At 42.1% G+C, this 21,845-nt stretch overlaps 1 pseudogene across 2 annotated transcripts in view, besides 2 other annotated features; it reads left to right on the top strand.

Moving 5' to 3' along the window:
* Positions 4,198-5,105: an enhancer, noted in NCBI's record as "NANOG-H3K27ac-H3K4me1 hESC enhancer chr13:25543733-25544640 (GRCh37/hg19 assembly coordinates)". NCBI's record gives its function as "activates a minimal SCP1, AML or CMV promoter by ChIP-STARR-seq in naive H9 embryonic stem cells {active_cell/tissue: H9 hESC(naive)}" and the evidence as "EXISTENCE:reporter gene assay evidence [ECO:0000049][PMID:30033119]".
* The window catches only part of TPTE2P1 (TPTE2 pseudogene 1), a 39,730-nt pseudogene continuing 24,100 nt past the window's right edge, over positions 6,216-21,845 (top strand). For both annotated transcript variants that reach the window (NR_026730.2, NR_178209.1), the window contains exon 1: positions 6,216-6,494. The product of NR_026730.2 is annotated as a TPTE2 pseudogene 1, transcript variant 2 (transcript). The remainder of the gene's footprint in view (positions 6,495-21,845) is intronic.
* Positions 17,064-17,643: an enhancer, noted in NCBI's record as "OCT4-NANOG-H3K27ac-H3K4me1 hESC enhancer chr13:25531195-25531774 (GRCh37/hg19 assembly coordinates)". NCBI's record gives its function as "activates a minimal SCP1, AML or CMV promoter by ChIP-STARR-seq in primed H9 embryonic stem cells {active_cell/tissue: H9 hESC(primed)}" and the evidence as "EXISTENCE:reporter gene assay evidence [ECO:0000049][PMID:30033119]".

Below are 21,845 nucleotides of genomic sequence, written 5' to 3'. Positions count from 1 at the left end.
GAACATGTATTATGCATTGTTGAGAACAGCGTTCTATGTACATCTATTTTATTTAACTCTTCTATTTTCCTACTGACATTCTGTTTTCGTTCGATTGAATTTTAATAATATAATTCTTTCCTTCTCACCCTCTGTCATTACCTTGGAAGTCATATACTCCTTTTCTATGTTTTTATTAATTACTGTAAAGATTTCAACCTGCATCCTTGATTTAGCTATTAATTTTTGTTTATGTTGAGCCTGCATCTAGAAATCTTCCTAAACTCTCTCATTAGATTAAGGAGTTATTCTATAGATTTACTTACTACACTGACTTTCTACACTGGTTAGGCTCTGCAGTATAGTGTTAAATGGAAGCAGTGAAGAGAGGGCATTTTTGTTTAATGCCAGGCTTTAAAGAAAACGCTGTCAATATTATGTCATTAATATGATGTTCCTGGTAGGTATTTTGGTAGATTCTCTTTGTTGAGTTAAGGAAGTTTCCTAGTTGTTGTTAATTTTTAAAGTCACAGGTGCAGGCTGAATGTTAGTGAATGCTTTTTCCTACATTAATTGAGATAATTGTAAGGTATGTCTTCTTTAATCAATGAATATGATAAATTGCATTAACATAGATTTCTGATATAGGATGATTCTTGTATTTTCTATTATTTGTTTTTTAATGGGCAAAAGACTTTTTTCTTTTTGAGCTTAGATTTTTGGTATAATTTAACTTTTAGATTTGGAAGTACATATGCAGGTTTATTGGTAATATTGTGTGATGCTGAGGTTTGGGGTGTGAGTGATCGCATCACCCAGGTACTGAGCACAGGACCCAATAGTTAGTTTTTCATCCTGTGCCCTTTTCTGCTGTGCCCCCTCTAGAACTCCCCAGGGTCCATTATTGCCACCTTGATGTCCATGAGCACCCATTGTTTAGCTTTCACTTATGAGTGAGAACATATGGTATTTGGTTTTTTGTTCCTGCATTAATTTGCTCAGGATAATGACTTCCAGCTGCATCCATGATGCTGCAAAGGAAATGATTTCTTTTTTTTTTTTTTTTTTTGAGATGGAGTTTCACTCTTCTTGCCCAGGCTGGAGTCCAGTGGTGCAATCTTGGCTCACTGCAACCTCCACCTCCCAGGTTCAAGTGATTCTCCTGCCTCATCCTCCCAAGTAGCTGGGATTACAAGCGCCTGCCACAACGCCCAGCTAATTTTTGTATTTTTAGTAGAGATGGGGTTTCACCAAGTTGGCCAGGCTGCTCTCGAACTCCTGACCTCAGGTGATCTACCCACCTCAGCCTCCTAAAGTGCTGGGATTACAGGAATGAGCCACCGCGCCCAGCCTGTTTTTTTTGTTTGTTTGTTTGTTTGTTTTTTGAGATGGAGTCTTGCTCTGTCACCCACGCTGGAATGCAGTGGTGCAATCTCGGTCACTGCAACCTCCGCCTCCTGGGTTCAAGCAATTCTCCTGCCTCAGCCTTCTGAGTCACTGGGATTACAGGTATGTGCCGCCACGCCTGGCTAATTTTTGTATTTTTAGTAAAGACGGAGTTTCACTATGTTGGCCAGGCTGGTCTTGAACCCCTGACCTCAAGTGATCTGCCTGCCTTGGCCTCCCAAAGTGCTGGGATTACAGATGTGAGCCACTGCACCTGGCCCATGGCTCTATTTTGAAGTATGTTCCTTTGATTCCTCGTTTCTTGAGTGTTTTTTTTTTATCAAGAAAGATGTTGGATTTTATCAAAAGCTTTTTTTTCTGCATCTGTTGAGATGATCATGTGGTTTCTGTTTAATTCTGTTTGTGTGGTGAATCACATTTATTGGTTTGCATATGCTGAACCTTGTATCCTTGGAATGAAGCTTACTTGATCATGAACTTTTTGATGTGCTGTTGGATTTGGTTCGCCAGTATTTTGTTAAGGATTTTTGTGGCTGTCTTCATCATTGAGATTACCTTTTAGTTTTCTTTTTTTTATTGTGTCTTTGCCAGGTTTTGGTTTCAGGGTGATGCAGGATTCATGGAATGAATTAGGGAAGAGTCCCTCCTCAATTTTTTAGAATAGTTTCAGTAGAACTGGTACCAGTTCTTCTTTGTATAGTTGATAGAATTCAGCTGTGAATACATCTGATCTGGGCCTTCTTGGTTCGTAGGTGTTTTTTTTTTCGAGATTGAGTCTTACTCTGTTGTCCAGGCTGGAGTGCAGTGGCATGATCTCGGCTCATTGCAACCTCTGCCTCCTGGGTTCAAGCAATTCTTCTGCCTCAGCCTCCCGAGTAGCTAGGATTACAGGCACCTGCCACCACACCAGGCTAATTTTTGTATTTTTAGTAGCAATGGGTTTTCACCATATTGGCCAGGCTGGTCTCAAACTCCTGACCTCGTGATCCGCCCACCCACCTCAGCTTCCCAAAATGCTGGGAGTTCTTTAGGTTTCTATTAGGTCCAATTGATCAAGTGTTGAATTTAAGTCCAGAATTTCTTTGTTAGTTTTCCGTCTTTATGATCTGTGTAATGTTATCAGTGGGGTGTTGAAGTCCCCTGACTATTGTGTGGCTAAGTCTTTTCATAGGTCTAGAAGTATCTGTTTTATTAACCTGGGTGAGCCAATGTTGGGTGCATATATATTTAGGATAGTTAAGGCTTCTTGTTGAATTGAACTCCGTATCATTATGTAATGCTCTTCTTTGTCCTTTTTTACTATTGTTGGTTTAAAGCTTGTTTTATCTGTTTTAGGAATAGTGACCCCTGCTCTTTTTTGTGTTTTGTTTGTGTGACAGATCTTTCTTCAACCCTTTACTTTGAACCTATTGGTGTTGTTACATGTGAGATGGGTCTCTTGAAGACAGCAGACAGATGGGTTTTGTTTTTTTAATCCAACTTGCCACTCTGTGACTTTATTTATTTATTTATTTATTTATTTATTTATTTATTTCAGAATCTCACTCTGTCATCAGGCTAGAGTGCAGTGGCATGATATTGGCTCACTGCAACCTCTGACTCCCAGGTTCAAGTGATTCTCCTGCCTCAGCCTCCTGAGTAGCTGGGATTATAGGCATGTGCCATCACGCCTGGCTAATTTTTATATTTTTAGTAGAGACAGGGTTTCACCACATTGGCCAGGATGGTCTCGATCTCCTGACCTTGTGATCTGCCTGCTTTGGCCTCCCAAAGTGCTGGGATTACAGGAATAGCCACCGCACCCAGCCCACTCTGTGACTTTTAAGTGGTGTGTTTACATTCAAGGTTACTATTGACATGTGAGCTTTTCACCCTATCATGAAATTGTTAGCTGGTTTTTTTGTACTTTCTATTGTATGGTTGTTTTATAGGGTCTGTGAGCTGTGTACTTAAGTGTGTTTTTATGATAGCAGGTATCATTCTTTCATTTCCATGTTTAGAACTCCCTTAGGCATCTCTTGTAAGACTGGTCTAGTGGTAATGAACTCTCTTGGCATTTGCTTCTCTAGAAAAATGTTTTTATGCTCCCTCTCCCTCTCCCTCTCTTTCCACGGTCTCCCTCTCCCTCTCCCTCTCTTTCCACGGTCTCCCTCTCATGCCGAGCCGAAGCTGGACTGTGCTGCTGCCATCTCGGCTCACTGCAACCTCCCTGCCTGATTCTCCTGCCTCAGCCTGCCCAGTGCCTGCGATTGCAGGCGCGCGCCGCCACGCCTGACGGGTTTTCGTATTTTTTTGGTGGAGACGGGGTTTCGCTGTGTTGGCCGGGCTGGTCTCCAGCTCCTAACCGCGAGTGATCCGCCAGCCTCGGCCTCCCGAGGTGCTGGGATTGCAGATGGAGTCTCGTTAACTCAGTGCTCAATGGTGCCCAGGCTGGAGTGCAGTGGCGTGATCTCGGCTACAACCTCCACCTCCCAGCCGCCTGCCTTGGCCCCCCAAAGTGCCGAGATTGCAGCCTCTGCCCGGCCGCTACCCCGTCTGGGAAGTGAGGTGCGTCTCTGCCTGGCCACCCATTGTCTGGGATGTGAGGAGCCCCTCTGCCTGGCTGCCCAGTCTGGAAAGTGAGGAGCGTCTCTGCCCGGCCGCCATCCCATCTAGGAAGTGAGGAGCGCCTCTTCCCGGCCGCCATCCCATCTAGGAAGTGAGGAGCGTCTCTGCCCGGCCGCCCATCGTCTGAGATGTGGGGAGCGCCTCTGCCCCGCTGCCCCGTCTGAGAAGTGAGGAGACCCTCCGCCCGGCAGCCGCCCCATCTGAGAAGTGAGGAGCCCCTCCGCCCGGCTGCCACCCCGTCTGGGAAGTGAGGAGCGTCTCCGCCCGGCAGCCACCCCGTCCGGAAGGGAGGTGGGGGGGTCAGCCCCCCGCCAGGCGAGACGCCCCGTCCGGGAGGGAGGTGGGGGGGTCAGCCCCCCGCCCGGCCAGCCGCCCCGTCCGGGAGGGAGGTAGGGGGGGGTCAGCCCCCTGCCCGGCCAGCCGCCCCGTCCGGGAGGTGAGGGGCGCCTCTGCCCGGCCACCCCTACTGGAAAGTGAGGAGCCCCTCTGCCCGGCCACCACCCCGTCTGGGAGGTGTACCCAACAGCTCATTGAGAACGGGCCATGATGACAGTGGCGGTTTTGTGGAATAGAAAAGGGGGAAAGGTGGGGAAAAGATTGAGAAATCGGATGGTTGCTGTGTCTGTGTAGAAAGAAGTAGACATGGGAGACTTTTCATTTTGTTCTGTACTAAGAAAAATTCTTCTGCCTTTGGATCCTGTTGATCTGTGACCTTACCCCCAACCCTGTGCTCTCTGAAACATGTGCTGTGTCCACTCAGGGTTAAATGGATTAAGGGCGGTGCAAGATGTGCTTTGTTAAACAGATGCTTGAAGGCAGCATACTCGTTAAGAGTCATCACCATTCCCTAATCTCAAGTACCCAGGGACACACACACTCTGCCTAGGAAAACCAGAGACCTTTGTTCACTTGTTTATCTGCTGACCTTCCCTCCACTATTGTCCTATGACCCTGCCAAATCCCCCTCTGCGAGAAACACCCAAGAATGATCAATAAAAAAAAATAAATAAAAAATAAATTTAAAAAAAAAAAAAAGAAAAATGTTTTTATTTCTCCTTCACTCATGAAGCTTAGTTTGGCAGGATATGAATCTGTTGATTATAATTTATTTTCTTTAACAATTCTGAAAATAGATCCCTCAATCTCTCCTGGCTTCTAAGGTTTCTGCTGAGAAGTCTGCTGTTATCCTGATGGGGCTACCTTTGTATGTGATCTGGCCTTTTTCTCCAGTGCCTTTAGGGCTTTTTCTTTGACAGTGACCTTGGACAGTCTGGTGAGTATATGCCTTGGTAATGTTCATTTTTTATAGTATCTCACAGGTGCTGTCTGGCTTTATTGTACTTAGATGTCTATCTAGCAAGATTCAATAAATTTTCTTGAATTATTCCATCAAATATGTTTTCCAGGCTGTTTTCTTTTTCTGTTTCTCTCTAGGGCATGCCAGTAATTCGTAGGTTTGATCACTTTACATAATCTCATATTTCTGACTTTCTTCACTTTTAAAAAATCTTTTTTCTTTATCTTTGTCTGACTGGATTAGTTCAAAAGACCAGTCTTCAAGCTCTGAAATTATGTTTTCTACTTTGTCCAGTCTATTGATAAAGCTTTCAGTTGTATTTTGAAGTTCCTTAAGTGAGTTTTTTTAATTCTAGAAGTTCTGATTGATTTCTTATTAAGATGTTTATCTCTTCCTTCATTTCCTGGATTGATGTAGAAGTTTCTTTTTGTTGATTTCAACCTTGAATCTCATTGAGCTTCCTTGCAACCCAAGCTTTGAAATGTTTATTGTCATCTCTGAGTTTTCATTTTGGCACGAAGCATTGCCAGAGAGCTAGTGTGATCCTTTGGTAGTGTCACTACATTCAGATTTCTCATGGTGCCAGAATTCTTGCGTGGGTCCCTCTCATCTGGAGATGCTAGCACTTCTAATTTGTGTAATTATTTTTGTTTGGGTAGGATTTTTTCTTTTTCTTTCCTTTTCTATAATATTATTGTTATTTTTTTTCTTCTTTCCCTTTCCCTCCTCTCTAGGGGGTGTGGCTGTAGAGCATGCTGGGTAGGGTCTTTTGGCTTTGCTTCTGTAGCCCTATGCACTTCTGCCAGCAGGTTTTATATTGGGTGTGTGGTTTGACCTACAAGCCAGTAGATGGCGCCATGGGTAAGAGCTGGCTGTTGCCAGTGCTGCTGGCTGTGTACTTGATCCTTGTTTATTGGGAGGAGCTCTCTGCTGCCCCAGGAATGGGCTGATTTCCTGAGTACACATTAATCTGAGCTCCCTCAGCCCTAGGGGTAGGGGGATTGGGGGCACAAGATGGGTGGAGCCAGATAGGGAAGATTCCCCCAGTGTTGTCCTGCTCCCAGTCCAGGTTTGGGACAATGCCGGCAGCGTTTCCCTGTGTCTTTCCCCCACAAAGTCTCCAAGTCTTTCCTCAAATGATCGTCAAGGTTTGGGAGAAACAATCTCTTCCTCTGCCCGGGTTGCGTGGATCTCCAGTGGAAAGGTGAGACAGAGGGATGCTGTCTGCCTCTCTCACATACTGAGGCTTCACTCACTTTTATCAGTCAAATGCTGTCCTGAGGGCTGCTTGCCTGCAATGTCCTCCCCAGGATCTGGGATGTCCTTCATCATTCTGGGGAATTGCCATTTTCTTTCTTGAATTAAAGCTCACAGAGTTGGTCTTTATGTACTTGCTTGCTATTTCCAAATGACTGAGGCATGCTAAAAGCCTGTAATCTGCCATCTTGGAAAAAAATCCTTGCATCCTTAAGAGAAATGGCACTTGGTGTTGATACATGGTGTTTCTACGTTGCTGAATTCACTTTGAAAATATATGTATATTTTAAAATCTACATTTATATGTGAGACTGGTGTAAAAATATCCTACTGTATTTGTGCAATTTTGGAATCAGTTATATTAATGTACTCAATGAGTTGGGAATTTTTCTTTTTTACTATTATCCAAAAAAATTATAAAAGACATAATTGTTGCTTTCTTACAGATTTAGTAAAAACCTCATCGTGTCCTTTTATGGAGAGATGGTGAGAGATATTTTTACTGTAAATGTAATTTGCGTATTTTTCACCTGTGAGGCAGAGGTTGCAATGAGCCAAGATTGTGCCACTGCACTCCAGCCTGCGTGACACAAGACCCTGTCTCAAAAAAAAGAAAAATCAACTTAAAATGCACTCCTTGAATATTTCTGAGTGTATTTTTATACCACGTATGTTCCTTGAAATACTTTTCTTTTCTAGGAAGAACCGGAACTATGGTTTGTGCCTGCCTTATTGCCTCCAAAATATTTTTAACTGCAGAGGTATGAAAGATGTTCTACAAAATTTGTCTTATGATGATTGAGTTTGCTAGTTCTGAAACATCGCTGGTAGGACGTTAAGATGATTATTTGATTCATGGTGCTTAGTAAAACTGTAATTAGAGAAGCAGTTTTTAGAAAGTCTGTTTTTGATACTTTCTTGTTTAATGTGCACTAGTTAGTAGCTGACTGCAGAATCTCTTTGGGCCAGGACTAGAGTGAGGTCAATGAGGTGCAACATTTAAGGGAATGCTAAAAATTGTAATAATTAAAATAAATAATTTTAACGCAATATTTTAATAAAAATTAATGCAAAATATCTATGCTGTATACAATATCAACATTTTAAATAAAGACAAGACCTGATGGGGCAGGATTAAGGTGAGGGGAGTAAAGCCATGTTACACAGAAAAAAAATTCAGTAATCAAGATACTTCCCTCACTTCACCTGGCTCTGCTCTTACTCCTGCCAGTACCATGACTTCTTCCTTCCTCGTGAGAATAGTATCAAGCTTAATTAGATAAATTCTCCAAAGAGCCTTGCCCATCCTCACAACTCTTAGGTAGATAAAAAGCAACATTTCACAACTCAAAACAAAGCCTCTCCTGAATGTAAATATCTTTGCTTAGTCAATACATGTGGAGTCTGTGACCTCTAGAAATTTCTGATAAGACAAGGTGGGCTGTTTCCACTTAAAGCAGAGTTCTCAATCATTTTTCTTTCTGCCATTTTCTTGCTGAGATGCTACCATTTCCAGCAGCTCTGCTCGAGTTGTTTGGCCTGCAGTCTAGGGAAGAGGTGGTGGTTGTGCACAATGCCCAGCACTCCCATTCCACCACCTTTGCTTTCTCTAATTTGAGATACAAAGATTTTGAAAATGGGTGTTCTAGGATGGTGTTTTTCAAGCTATGGATCATGATTTATCAGTGAGTTGTAAAATAAAGTTACTGGGTTGTAACTGACATCTTTTAAAAATAAAATGGAATAGAGCAGAATAGAAAATATCAAAAGGTTTAAATATTGGGGGGTGTGTGTGTGTGTGTGTGTGTGTGTGTGTGTGTGTGTGTGTGTGTGTCTCCTAGGTTTATTAATGTGGATTGCAGCTTAAAAAACAAAAGGTTTGAAAGTCATTGACAGCCATTGATCCGGAGCCCTAGACTGAGATCCAGGGACCTGTATTCCAGACCTGTGCTGCTTCTAACTGGCTGCAGCATCTCCTTGGCAGGTTGCTTGGTTTTCTTTTGGTTTCAGTGTTGTCATTTGTAATATGGAAAGAAGGGTTGGACCAGATGCTTTCTAAGGTCTTTCCAGCTCTAAAATTTTATGAATGTATGAATCCTTGAATGAGAGAAGTCCTAATTTTGTTATTTTCGGTAGCTTCTGCCCAAAGATCACTCGGCCGGGCACGGGTGGCTCACGCCTGTAATCCCAGCACTTTGGGAGGCTGAGGCAGGTGGATCTCTTGACGTCAGGAGTTTGAGAGCAGCCTGGCCAACATGGTGAAACCCCTATCTCTACTAAAAATACAAAAAATTAGCTGGGCATGGTGGTACACACCTGTAGTCTCAGCTACTCAGAAGGCTGAGGCAGTAGAATCACTTGAACCCAGGAGGCAGAGGTTGCAGTGAGCTTAGATCCTGCCACTGTACTCCAGTCTGGGTTACAGAGCAAGACTCTACCAAAAAACAAACAAACAAACAAACAAAATCACTGACTTTAGGAAAGAAGGTAGGCGTAGAAACCCTAAGGGTACCTAATATAGGAAAGGAAAGAGTGCAGATGAACCATGGTTGGATTGTACCCTTTTTTGCAGGAAAGCCTGTATTATTTTGGAGAAAGGCAAACAGATAAAACCCACAGCAGTAAATTTCAGGGACTAGAAACTCCTTCTCAGGTAAGTTTTCTTTTTAAAAATGGGAGTTTTTTTTTTAGGGGAGTGGGTTAAGATTGCCACCTGTTATTTGGTTTCACTTTAGACTCTTCTCCTTTGGTGATCAGGCAGCAGCAGTTGGGTGCCCTGCAACAGGCCTTGGTCCCTCCCTGAGTCTGAGGGTCACGCTTTAGGTGCTGCCCACATGCTGGGGACTCTGGCTTCTCCTCAGAGAATCCTGCTTTCTATTCTATACTGGTTATTGTTTATGGAGCTCAGGAGTTGATTATTTTCCCAAAGTAGGAAGGTCCAGTACCCAAGGCTCCAGGACCCTGAAGTGTATCTAAAATCACCAGCCTTTGATTTCAATGTAAAAAAGATCCAAGTCTTTCACAAACCCTTACTAGGGCAATTCAACCCTTGCAGAACATTACAAAGACTGTTTTTGGATGACTCCTGGTGTGTGTGTGTGTGTGTGTGTGTGTGTGTGTGTGTGTGTCTTTTCTGTGTGTTGTGGGGGAGGTGTATTTTAAAAGAGAAAATAAAAGGAGAAATAAACTTTTCAAAACCCCTTCTGTATCCCAGACAGTATTGCACTTTTACATATATCATTTAATACCCATAACACCTATATGAAATATACACTGTTACTCTGTTTTTTCTTTTAGAAACATTTTGTTATAGAGAATTTTAATCATATACAAAAGTCCAGAGAATCATACAATATATCCACATATAGTCGTCACATTGCTGCAACAGTCATTTCAGCCGGCAGCCAGCCACATTTCATCCGTTCTTTCCCACTCCACTCACACCCCTCAACCCCACTCTCCACTCTTGCTTTCCCTAAATCTGAGTTATTTTAAAGGAAATTTCAGTCATCAGATCATTTTATCCCACAGCATTTTATGACATTTAAGTACTCTTAAAACAACAACAAAAAACCTTAACACTTTTTATCATATCTAAAAATATTATACCTTAAAAATCCTTCATATCAAATTTGTACTCCATGTTTGTTTCCAAAATTGTCTTAAAATCTTTGAAAATTTAGTTTGTTTAATCAGAATTCAAACAAAGTCCACACATTTCATTTGGTTGCTGTGTCTCCTAAGTCTCTTTTAAGAATCTGAGTTTATAGATTTCTCACCATTTTTTATTACTTGTAATTTGTTTATTGCAGAAACCAGGATGTTTATCCTATAGCATTTACAACATTCTAGACTTTGCTGAACTATTCTAAGAGTTCTATATTCACTATCTCATTTAATATTCTCAGTAACTCTATGAGTAGGCACTACTATGATTCTCATCTTATAAATTAGAAAATTGAGGTTCATAGAAAGTAACTTTTGAACCAAGGACTGAAATCTAGATGTCAGTCTCTGAAGCCCTTTTTGTGCACAGCTTCTCATTTATATTGCCTTTTCTATATTGCCCCTGAAACTGAAGTGAGAGTGGGTTGGGAATTCCGAAATGGATTTGGATGTGGCTGTAAATGAGTTTTTCTTTAAGTGGTGGGAGCTGAGTAAGTACTCTTGGCCCCGTTAGAAGAACACTCTAACTACTGGCCCTAAACCTTTAGTTTGGGCCAGAAGAACTCAGCCTTATCCACTGATACTTTTCTCCCACACCCAAGCCCAAAACAAAACAAAACAAAACAAAGATATTCATAGACCCTAAGCTAAAAGTGATAAGTGAATTTACTGAAGTGCAGCCCTAATCATGCCATTTCCATGCTCAAAATCCATACTATGTCCCCACTGCCAATGGCAATAAACTAAACGTTTCAACCTGGCACTCAAGAGCCACAGTTTGACTTTTCCAACCTTCTCTTCCACTATGTGCATGCACACATCCCATACTCCAACACATTTAGACTGTGTGCTCTTTCCCAGCCTATGGACACTTGATACCCTCATGCCGTTGCTCATGCCCCTTTTCCTAGAGTCCCTTTCCCTTCTCAGCCTGAAGTAGTCTCTTGCTTTTTCAATTCTTAGAGCCCTTTGTGTTTCTTTTAGGGACTATGTCACTTTGCATCATTCTCTAGTTATTTGAAGTGGTGACTTCTGTATCCCCTTTAAAGGCAAAGCCCATGGCTTACCCATCTTTCCACCCTTTTCTCATAATATCTTGTTGTTTGTAGTGAGTGCCTCCTATGTGTTGGTTGTATTAATTTCTACTACAAGTCCATGTTGTTTTAAGTTGTAGGAGAAGGAAGCGTGGGAGCACAAGCAGCTTGAGGGCCCTGGTGGTTTACAGCCCTTAGGGAAAGGTGGAGAATCTAGTGGCAGAAGCTAAGGGGATGCTAGGTGGAGCTCCTTCAACAACTCTCCCCCACACATCTCCTCATCCCCATTTCTTCTGCAGTCGTGCATAGTTTCCCTAACTTTAGTCCAGAACTAGCACACCAAAGCTGCAACTGAATCTCTTCTGATTCACTAAAAAAGCAACAAAGGGATTCAGCTGCACGTTTGAGAGCTGTGTTGGCAAGACCTCAGGACAGAGTGCCCTCTGTGTCTGGTGGTGATTCTCAGACACCATCACATTCTGATCCTGCATTGTGGGCCATTCTACTGACTACATCTACTCCTAAGTGGAGGACTTTCATGAGCCTATCTCATGACTGGCCCTTTCTAAAGGGAAGTATGGCAGTTAGTTACTTTAATGAGCATTTCCCAATGGGTAAGGAACAGTCTGTGAACCTATGAGTTTTGTTTTGTTTTGTTTTGTTTTGTTTTTAATTTTTGAGACAGAGTCTCGCTCTGTCGCCCAGACTAGAATGCAGTGGTGCAATCTCAGCTCACTGCAACCTCGACCTCTTGGGTTCAAGTGATTCTCCTGCCTCAGCCTCCCAAGTGGCTGGGATTATAGGTGCCCATCACCACGCATGGCCTATTTTTGTACTTTTAGTAGAGACAAGGTTTCACCCTGTTGGCAAGGCTGGTCTCAAACTCCTGACGCCAGGTGATCTGCCCACCTCGGCCTCCCGAAGTGCTGGGATTACAGGCGGGAGCCACCATGATGGCCAACTTTTGAATTCTGAACCAGTTGATTGAGTACCAGAGCTCTTCAATACCTTGAAGAAAGATTCAGGGGAGAACCGTTGTGAACAGCTTGCCCCAGGGAAAGGACAAGGCTGAGAGAATTCCAGGGCTTCCTTGAGAAAACAGAATTGAGGAAATGCAAAGTGAAGAATTCTAGCATCAGGAACAAGAGAAGAATGATGGGAAACCTGCTACTGAGGTATGGAGGTATTCCTCTGGAGTTTTCACTTATACCATTCTCTCATGCCCAGGAAGCTGCTCTTCACCAAACCACAAGCCTTCCTCTAACTCAGTCACAACTAAGCTTCTATCCGGACACTGATGATGCTGTAACTGTTTTGTTGTGCTTCTGATTAGTTGCCCTCTCAACCATAAGCAGCCTATAAACAGGGCCTGGCTCCATCCTTGTTACTTCCCCATTGCACTGAATTCAGTATTTTTCCCTCAAGGTAGATAGTTGTGGGGCAGCATCCCTAAAAATGTCCAGTTATATAATGGCATCCAGTAAATGTTTTCTTAATTACTTACCTCCATTAACAAGCTTTATGCAAAAAAAAAAAAAAAAGGAATGCTGACTTTAGACTTCATCTCCACTTAAAGGAAGATTTCTGTTGCTTTTCACAATAGATATGTTGGATATTTTGCACAAGTGAAACATCTGTACAACTGGAATCTCCCTCCAAGACGGATACTCTTTATAAAAAGATTCATTATTTATTCAATTCGTGGTTAAGTGCTTTATGTGTAATTGAAGAATTGGGCAGGAGGGCCAATGTCCCCACTCTGGGAGAGTTTTGCTCATAGTTATATATACAGATGAGCCTAACTCATACCTGTCTTTTTACATATTGTCACACAGGAACTCCTCCTTATTTATGCCGCTCCTCCTGCAATTGCCCATTGATTGCCAGCCCTTAGATGTTCTTCACTTTTTCTTTTCCATCACCAACTTGGGGGACTTCATCCCCTTCCCATCTCTCCTGTTCTCATTGCTCCTCCGGTCTCAACCCAGGTGGACTTTTCCGGGCAGAGGGAGCCTCTGATGAGGGAGGAGGAGGACCCATGTGCCCTCAAGCCTGCTTATTTCTCAGAACCACCTCTAGTTCAGAGTTTGCCTTGGTGGAGGTGTCTCCGTATCGTATCATTTTCTCACCTTCTTTTAGAGGCATATTTTTTTCTCATCACCCTGGGCTCTCCCTTTCCCCTCTCTCCTCCATCTGTAACCCTCTCACTCCCAGCTTACACTCAGGGGAGGCGGGAAAGCAGGATGTGTCTGTGTGGAAGGAATGGGGCCTCACCACTCCCACTGCCAGAGAGGTAGCAGGGAGGTGATGCTTCGGAACCCCTAAAGCAAACCTCTTCTAGCAGCCAGCTTGTGGACCTGAGATGGTGCCAGTGCTGGGTGCTATAGGTGCCATGGGGCCAGGATGCTGGTGTCCACACAGACAGCCTAGTATTTTTAGCCTTCTGAGTTTAGTTCTACATTTCACTGATTTCTGGTAGACATCAATAGAAAGAAGTTCTGCACCTGGAATGGGAAAGAGGGAACTGAGGCAAGAAACTGTGATTTCTAATGACAAATGAATATCATGGTGTTAGTGAAAACAAAACTAAATGAAAAGAAAACAAACAGCATATGAGATGAGCAATCAAAGATAATTAATACACTAGTTTATTAAAATATTTGTTTTAATTTTCTACCTTTAGCTTTGTACATATTTGAATTAAAATTAATGTAGAGTTGAGAGGAAAGCAATAAAACAATTAATTGGCTGAGAAACCAAGTCTTTGAGGAAATGCTGAGGGAAGTGGGTCATTTGAATTGAAAAAAAGGAACAAAAGAGCCTTTGTCTATAAATATATACTGAACACCACGGGAATTTTTGGATAAAACTATCCTATATTTTTATAGAGATTGCATCAGGAACTGGCCTTAAAGTAGGGCCAAAGTAGTTAAACTCCAGTATTTATTATTAAGAATCATTATGATTAGAAGTCTGAAGAAAGCAACATATTAGCAAGAAAGGTTGCAAGTCACCTTCCCAGAATTGTCTTTTTCTTTCTTTTTTTTTTTTTTTTTTTTTGGAGACAGAGTCTTGTTCTGTCACCCAGGCTGGAGTGCAGTAGTGTGATCTCGGCTCACTGCAACTTCCACCTCCCGGGTTCAAGCAATTCTCCTGTCTCAGCCTCCTGAGTAGCTAGGATTACAAGCATGTGCCACCACGTCTGGCTGATTTTTGTATTTTTAGTAGAGATGTGGTTTCACCATCTTGGCCAGGCTGGTTTAGGATTCCTGACCTCAAGTAATCCTCCACCCACCTCAGCCTCCCAAAGTGCTAGGCGTGAGCCACCATGCCCGGCCTACCTTCCCTAAATATTTTTTCTGGAAAGATAAAGTGATGGGATTCTAAGTCTTTGAAGCCGAACTATATATATATATTTTTTCTCTTCTCTAGTCTTATAAAATCTGCTTTAAGAGACAGAACTAGGCTTGAAGCCTTGTCTTTCAAAGACAAAATCCATGCAAGACCAAATAAGTAACTATTGATACATTGTTAGCTTGGATAATTTTTTCTCTTTTTAATCCATGATGTTAATTGGTGAGACATATTGATGTTCACGCTAACCAACCTAACTTTTTAATTTCATTTAGGTGTTGGAACAGGCGATGTATGTGATCTAAAATTCCAAATAGTAATGGAGAAAAAGGTTGTCTTTTCCAGTACTTCATTAGGAAATTGTTCAGTAAGAGAAAACATGTGAACTGAAAAACTCTGATGTTCTTTTTAAGGTTGAATGTCAAACCAGCAATGTTCACCTCCCTAAACTATCACTCACCTAAAGAGATTCCATAACGCTTTCTGGTTACCATCCAACTTGGTGTCACTGGGTTTGGATGCAAACCAGAGATAAATTAACCTGTTTGTTCAAAACAGTTTCTTCAGGGTGCTTTCCAGAATTTATTTCTGGTCAGTGTTGCTTTGCCTTTCACACTTCCACAAACACTGAGCATGTTCCCAGGAATGTATTAAGGATTTTAATTTACATATCTGGTCATTTTTAAACATATTCTCTTCTTCTCAGTCATTTGATCTTTTATTATATAACACTGATTCTAAAAGTTTAGTGTGCATGAAAACCACTGAGGAGCTTGTAAAGATTTACATTCCTAGGTTGTACCCCCAAAGTATGATTCGGGAAATCTGGATTGGGGCCCAGGAATCTATAGACTTAGCAATGTCCCAAGTGATTCTAAGTCAGACGTTCTGTGGGATGACCCTGTGAGAAACAATGCAAGGGTGAATGAACTGGGGAGGAACCTCTTTATCCAAAGCAAAAGGGACCTGGTAGTCAATGTTTTGCTACAATGAAGAAATGCCTAAAACTATATACCTTTTCTGAAACAGTAAGAAAGCATCCTTCATGGTCTAATAACCATAAACTTTTAGAATTCCTACCCAGGCCTTTGTCTCAAATTCTCCTATTACTAACCCTATTCCCTGCCACCCCCTCCCCACTCTGCCCCCGGCTTTTTTGGCCTCTCCCAACTGAGGACATTCACCCAGGCCTGACCCTTGGCTTTCTGTTCTTAGCAAATGCTTTATTCTTAAAGGATGACCCATTCCCCTTACTTCAACCATTATTTGTTCATTTACTGAACAGCTATTTATGAGCACCCACTGAGTTTTAGATGCAGGAGCTACAACATGAACAGTTTCCACTCCAACTCAAATGCATTCGCCAGTCTGAATTATCAAGGAGCTTTCTCTCTGCTTCTGCAAATGGCACCAGCATTCTTCCACTCACGCCTTGGGCTCTGATTCTCTTTGCCTCGGCCCCCTAAATCCAGTTAGTCATCCATCTCTGTTGATTATGCCTTTGACAGTTTTCTACGTTCTCCTTCCTTTCTGTTCTCACTGCCACTAATTGTCCAGAATCTCCTTTGCTCAGCGTAGATTTCTGCAGTGGTCTCCTTACCCTTTCTTTCTCCTTCTATAATGCAATGTATAGAATCCTGAAATATGCATCCTGAAATATTCCTCTCATTGTGAAAAATTGTAGCTAGAGCAGAAGACACACTGTGTGCCCGTGGTCAGAGCCAGTTAACACCTTTGGCTCAACATCTTTATCTGTAAAATAAATATCACATCCAAGTGTAATGGGAATTCAATTAGATAATATATATAAAGTTTCTTTGTGAACTATAAATCACTAAATAAGTGTTATATGTGATAATTATCAGGCCTCTTTTTCACATAGGAAATGCCCCACCATATTTTTCAACAACTTCTTTCTTATTTCTTTGGCTCGAGCTCTGAAGATATAATAGCCCTAATGTAATACCTGAGCTTTTTTCCATCAGTAGCTTGACCAGCAGACTTCATTCCAAATAAACTGGGTCATCCCTTTTGGCTCTTGGAACACAACTCTAATTTAGTTATTTGGTTATAACTAACCAAATAACTTATTTCTTTCTTTCCTTCCTTTCTTCCTTTACTTTTTTTTTTTTTTTCTTGAGCCAGGGTCTTATTCTGTCACCCAGGCTGTAGCGCAGTGGCATGATCATGGCTCACTGTAGCCTCAACCTCTTGAGCTCAAGCAATCCCCCAATTTTTTTTTATGTTTTGAAGAGGCTGGGACTTGCTATGTTGCCCAGGCTGGTCTCAGACTCCTGGGCTCAAGCAACCTGTCCACCTCAGCCTCGCAATGTGCTGGGATTATAAACATGAGCCACACTGCCTGATATTGTTTGTTGTTGTTTTTCCAATTTTTTTTCTTTTCTTTTTGTTTTTTGAGACAGAGTTTTGCTCTTGTTGCCCAGGCTGGAGTGCATTGGCACAATCTCGGCTCACCACAACCTCTGCCTCCTGGGTGCAAGCGATTCTCCTGCCTCAGCCTCCCAAGTAGCTGGGATTACAGGCATACACTACCACGCCTGGCTAATTTTGTATTTTTAGTGGAGATGGGGTTTCTCCGTGTTGGTCAGGCTTGTGGGCAAAAGAAAGAGAGATCAGACTGTTACTGTTTCTACATAGAAAGAAGTAGACATAAGAGACTCCATTTTGTTCTGTACTAAGAAAAATTCTTCTGCCTTGAGATGCTGTGCTGGCAGAAACATGTGCTGTGTTGACTCAAGGTTTAATGGATTTAGGGCTATGCAGGATGTGCTTTGTTAAACAAATGCTTGAAGGCAGCATACTTGTTAAAAGTCATCACCACTCCCTAATCTCAAGTACCCAGGGACACAAAACACTGAGGAAGGCTGCAGGAACCTCTGCCTAGGAAAGCCAGGTATTGTCCAAGGTTTCTCCCCAGGTGATAGTCTGAAATATGGCTTCCTGGGAAGGGAAAGATCTGATCGTCCTGCAGCCCGACACCCATAAATGGTCTGTGCTGAGGAGGATTAGTGAAAGAGGAAGGCCTCTTTGCAGTTGAGATAAGAGGAAGGCATCTGTCTCCTGCTCCTCCCTGGGCAATGGAATGTCTCAGTGTAAAACCCGATCGTATATTCCATCTACTGAGATAGGAGAAAACTGCCTTAGGGCTGGAGGTGAGACATGCTGGTGGCAATACTGCTCTTTAATGCACCAAGATGTTTGTGTATGTGCACATCAAAGCACAACACCTTTTTCTTAACCTTGTTTATGATACAGAGACATTTGTTCACATGTTTTCCTGCTGACCCTCTCCCCACTATTACCCTATTGTCCTGCCACATCCCCCTCTCTGAGATGGTAGAGATAATGATCAATAAATACTGAGGGAACTCAGAAACTGGTGCCAGCGTGAGTCCTCCCTTTGCTGAGCGCTGGTCCCCTGGGCCCACTTTTCTTTCTCTATACTTTGTCTCTATGTCTCTTTCTTTTCTCAGTCTCTCATCCCACCCAAGGAGAAACACCCACAGGTGTGGAGGGGCAGGCCACCCCTTCAAGGCTGGTCTCAAACTCCCGACCTCAGGTGATCTGCCCACCTCAGCCTCACAAAGTGCTAGGATTACAGGCATGAGCCACCATTCCTGGCCCATTTTTCTAATTTCTACTTTGCATTATTGCTGGTCTTTTTCCCTCCGTTTGGACTAGAGTCTATTTTCAGAGCTCTTCTTCGTTTATCTAAACTGCTTCATGCCCAATTCAATTTCTACCTCCTTAATGAAATTTTTGCATTCTGTACCTTCTGTTAACTAGCCCCTAATAGTGCATAACAGCACACCCAGTCTTTATCATACAGATTAAGTTATGTACCATTCTACTATTGTTTCTTATGTGTACAGCTCCCAAAAGGGGCCAACTGAGTCTGCACCTCCTTTTGTGTTTTCCACAGGGCCTAGCATAGACCTTTCTTACTGTGGGTGCCTTTATTTATATGAGAGTGAGTCAAAGAAATAGTATCTTGAGCTATCTTTGGTCACTCCATCCAGCAGCCTGCATTGGTCAAGTTCAAAGATCCCATTGACAAACACAAGAGTTCTGATAAAACATGATGAGCAGGGGGACCCCACCCTCCCTCTCCCTTGGGAGGGGCATGCAGGCCCAACCCCCAAGTGTTACAGACCCCCGTTGTTATTTTTAAATTTAGAAAATAAAAAACCATGATGAGTTACGCATTGCTTTTTGAATGTCAATGCTAGCTTTAAAATTGAGCTTCTTAATATATTCTCAAAAAAGGCCCTAACACATGAAAATCAAATGACACACATTAAATGATAATATTTAATTGATTAAAGTCTAATAGAAAATTCAATACTTTTGAAAAGTGCCTCATGACCAGGCACAGTGGCTCATGCCTGTAATCCCAGCACTTTGGGAGGCCGAGGCAGGTGGATCACGAGGTCAAGAGATCGAGACCATCCTGGCCAACATGGTGAAACCCTGTCTCTACTAAAAATACAAAAATTAGTTGGGTGTGGTGGCACATGCCTGTAGTCCCAGCTACTTGGGAGGCGGAGGCTGGAGAATCAATTGAACCCAGGAGGCGGAAGTTGTAGTGAGCCGAGATCATGCCACTGCACTCCAGCCTGGTGACAGAGTGAGACTCTGTCTCAAAAAAAAAAAAAAAAAAAGAAAAGTGGTTCATGATAACACTCAAACATGTTGGCCTTTAAAAGACATAAACAACAGGCCGGGTGCAGTGGCTCATGCCTGTAATCCAGCACTTTGGGAGGCCCAGGCAGGCAGATCACTTGAAGCCAGGAGTTTGAGACCAGCCTGGCTAATATAGTGAAACCCCATCTCTACTAAAAATTCAAAAATTAGCTGGGTATGATGGCATGTGCCTATAGTCCCAGCTACTCGGGAGGCTGAGGCACAAGAATCACTTGAACCTGGGAGACAGAGGTTGCCGTGAGCCGAGATCACGCCACTGCACTCCAGCCTGGGTGACAGTGAGACTCTGTCTCAAAAAACAAAAAACAAACGAAAACACACACACACACACACACACAATAGTATTGCAACTAGAAAAGATTATTAATAATTATTTATGCATGTAGTGATTGGGCTGTGAGACCAAAAGTACTTGATAAATATAGGAAGTCATGATAAGTGAAAAGGACCTTTTGTTATCGTTATCTAGGTTTGTAGTTCTCAATTCCATGTGTTCATTCACAGATACTGCATGACATTGAAACAGCCGGTGTATTAACTAATGTATATGACAGTCCACCTCTGTATGATGATGTGAAAGTGCAATTTTTCTCTTCAGTGAGTAATCACAAAATAGCCTCTGCCATTGTTCTTGTCTGGTCTAATGATTTTATTTAAGATTTGCTTTACTACAATTCCAAACAAGGGAGGGGGAGGGGGAAGAAAACAATAAATTAGATCTATAACAAATTTTTTGAAAGAAAATATGTAATTTGAATAATTTTTGTTCATTTGTTTTTTTCTAAATTGTAAATTTTCTAAATTTTTCTAAATTTACATGTATTCTCAAATACAAAAAATACAAAATAAACACAAAAAAAGTAAAAGCCAAGATGCTAAAAAAAAAAAAACCCAAAGGTACGTTTTACTGCATAGCAATGATTACATTTTGTTTTGCATCTTTTTTAAAAAATTAAGAAGTTGAGACAGGGTCTCACTCTGTCACCCAGGCTGGAGTGCAGTGGCATGATCATAGCTAACTGTAGCTTCAACCTCCTGGGCTCAAGCAATCCTCCCACCTCAGCCTCCTTAGTAGCTGGGAGCACTGACTGGAAAGAGAGTTAGGTTTGGGCGACTCAGTTGGGTGAAACACAGAGAAGGCAGCACAATACAACACAAGAAATAACCAAAGCAGTTTTTTATTAATTCCAGAGAGAAGAGGGCAGCACACTTCGCAGGGGCAACTGGAAGAGGGAGCCATCCAGGAGACCTGTGCTTGACTGATGGGTGGGAGCAATAGCGAGAGACAGGGAGGGACCTGAGAGTGGAAGCCTTTATTGGGATGTAAGGTGCGACCTGAGTAGGTTTCCTGCAGGGAGGTCTAATTTGGTTTAACGCAAGCAGCCATGAGTCTCTGCTGTGGCTGAGAGGTGGTCACTAATATATCCACGTGGTCCCTGCAGAGTATGGGGGTCTGTTGGGTGAGTCAAGTAGGTTATATCTAGCTGTCCCATAATGAAGGGGTCACCAGGAGAAGATTGTATAAGGCAGATATCAGGATCAGTCACATGGAGAAACTGGGAGGAGGTGAACTGGAAACTGCTGAGGGTGACTGAACCCCGCTTCTGATATCAGAAAAGTCCTGACATCAGAAAGTCCAGTTTATATTTAAAAGGGATGCTGAGGCAACAAAAAAATTATAAGAATTCACTACAATCTAGTTGGGTATATATAGGCATAGGTCCTTAGTAGAGTCTGTTTGGCACTATCTAAACCAGATTCAAATAGCAGCATTTAAATTAAATACCTATCATGGAAAAAATACTATTCCTTGAAAATTTTGATAGAAACAGTAAGAGAATGCAATAGCATTTTCTTAAAGCTTCCTCCTTTGTGTCTTGAGTGTATTGTTATAGATTGCAGAGTGCTACATATTTAATGGTTATAATTGTTTGATAAATATAAAAAGGAATAAAGGAAGGAACTTTAATTTCTTTGGAATGATTAGTTCTTGGTATCAGTTTTACTTTGAAATTTTTTTTAGAACCTTCCTAAGTACTGTGACAATTGTTCATTTTTCTTCTGGTTCAACACATCTTTTATTCAAAATAACAGGTATGAATATAATATAAACCCATAGAAACAGCCTAATCTTCAATGTCTATATACAAGGCATAATGGCAAGTCTTTTGCTGGTTGTCATAAACTTAATTTATAGAAAGCAAAAAATCCTTGAGCCACCATTGTTCATTGCCTTACTCCTCTTACTCTGGTTATTTTAAAAATACCTTTGTTCTTGAGACCCACTGTTGCAGTATCCTCAAGGTCCATGCCATAGAACTGTGTTATGAGTTCAAAAGTATTACAATCAGATCTTAAGTGTGGTAGTAAATTCCTCTTGGAGAAGTTCAATATGAGTCTGCTCAGCACCTTCAGTATGTCAGGTCCCTGTCAGTAGGTGCTGATTTACCAATGACGAACCACCACCAAATTTTGTGCTAAAGTAAGGCAGGACCTAGGGAGGCTTCAGCTAGATGAAA

This window comes from Homo sapiens, chromosome 13, assembly GCF_000001405.40.
Source record: "Homo sapiens chromosome 13, GRCh38.p14 Primary Assembly".
NCBI lineage: Eukaryota > Metazoa > Chordata > Mammalia > Primates > Hominidae > Homo > Homo sapiens.
Note: the sequence above shows the minus strand (reverse complement) of the source record. Positions and strands in the feature narration are given on the sequence as shown.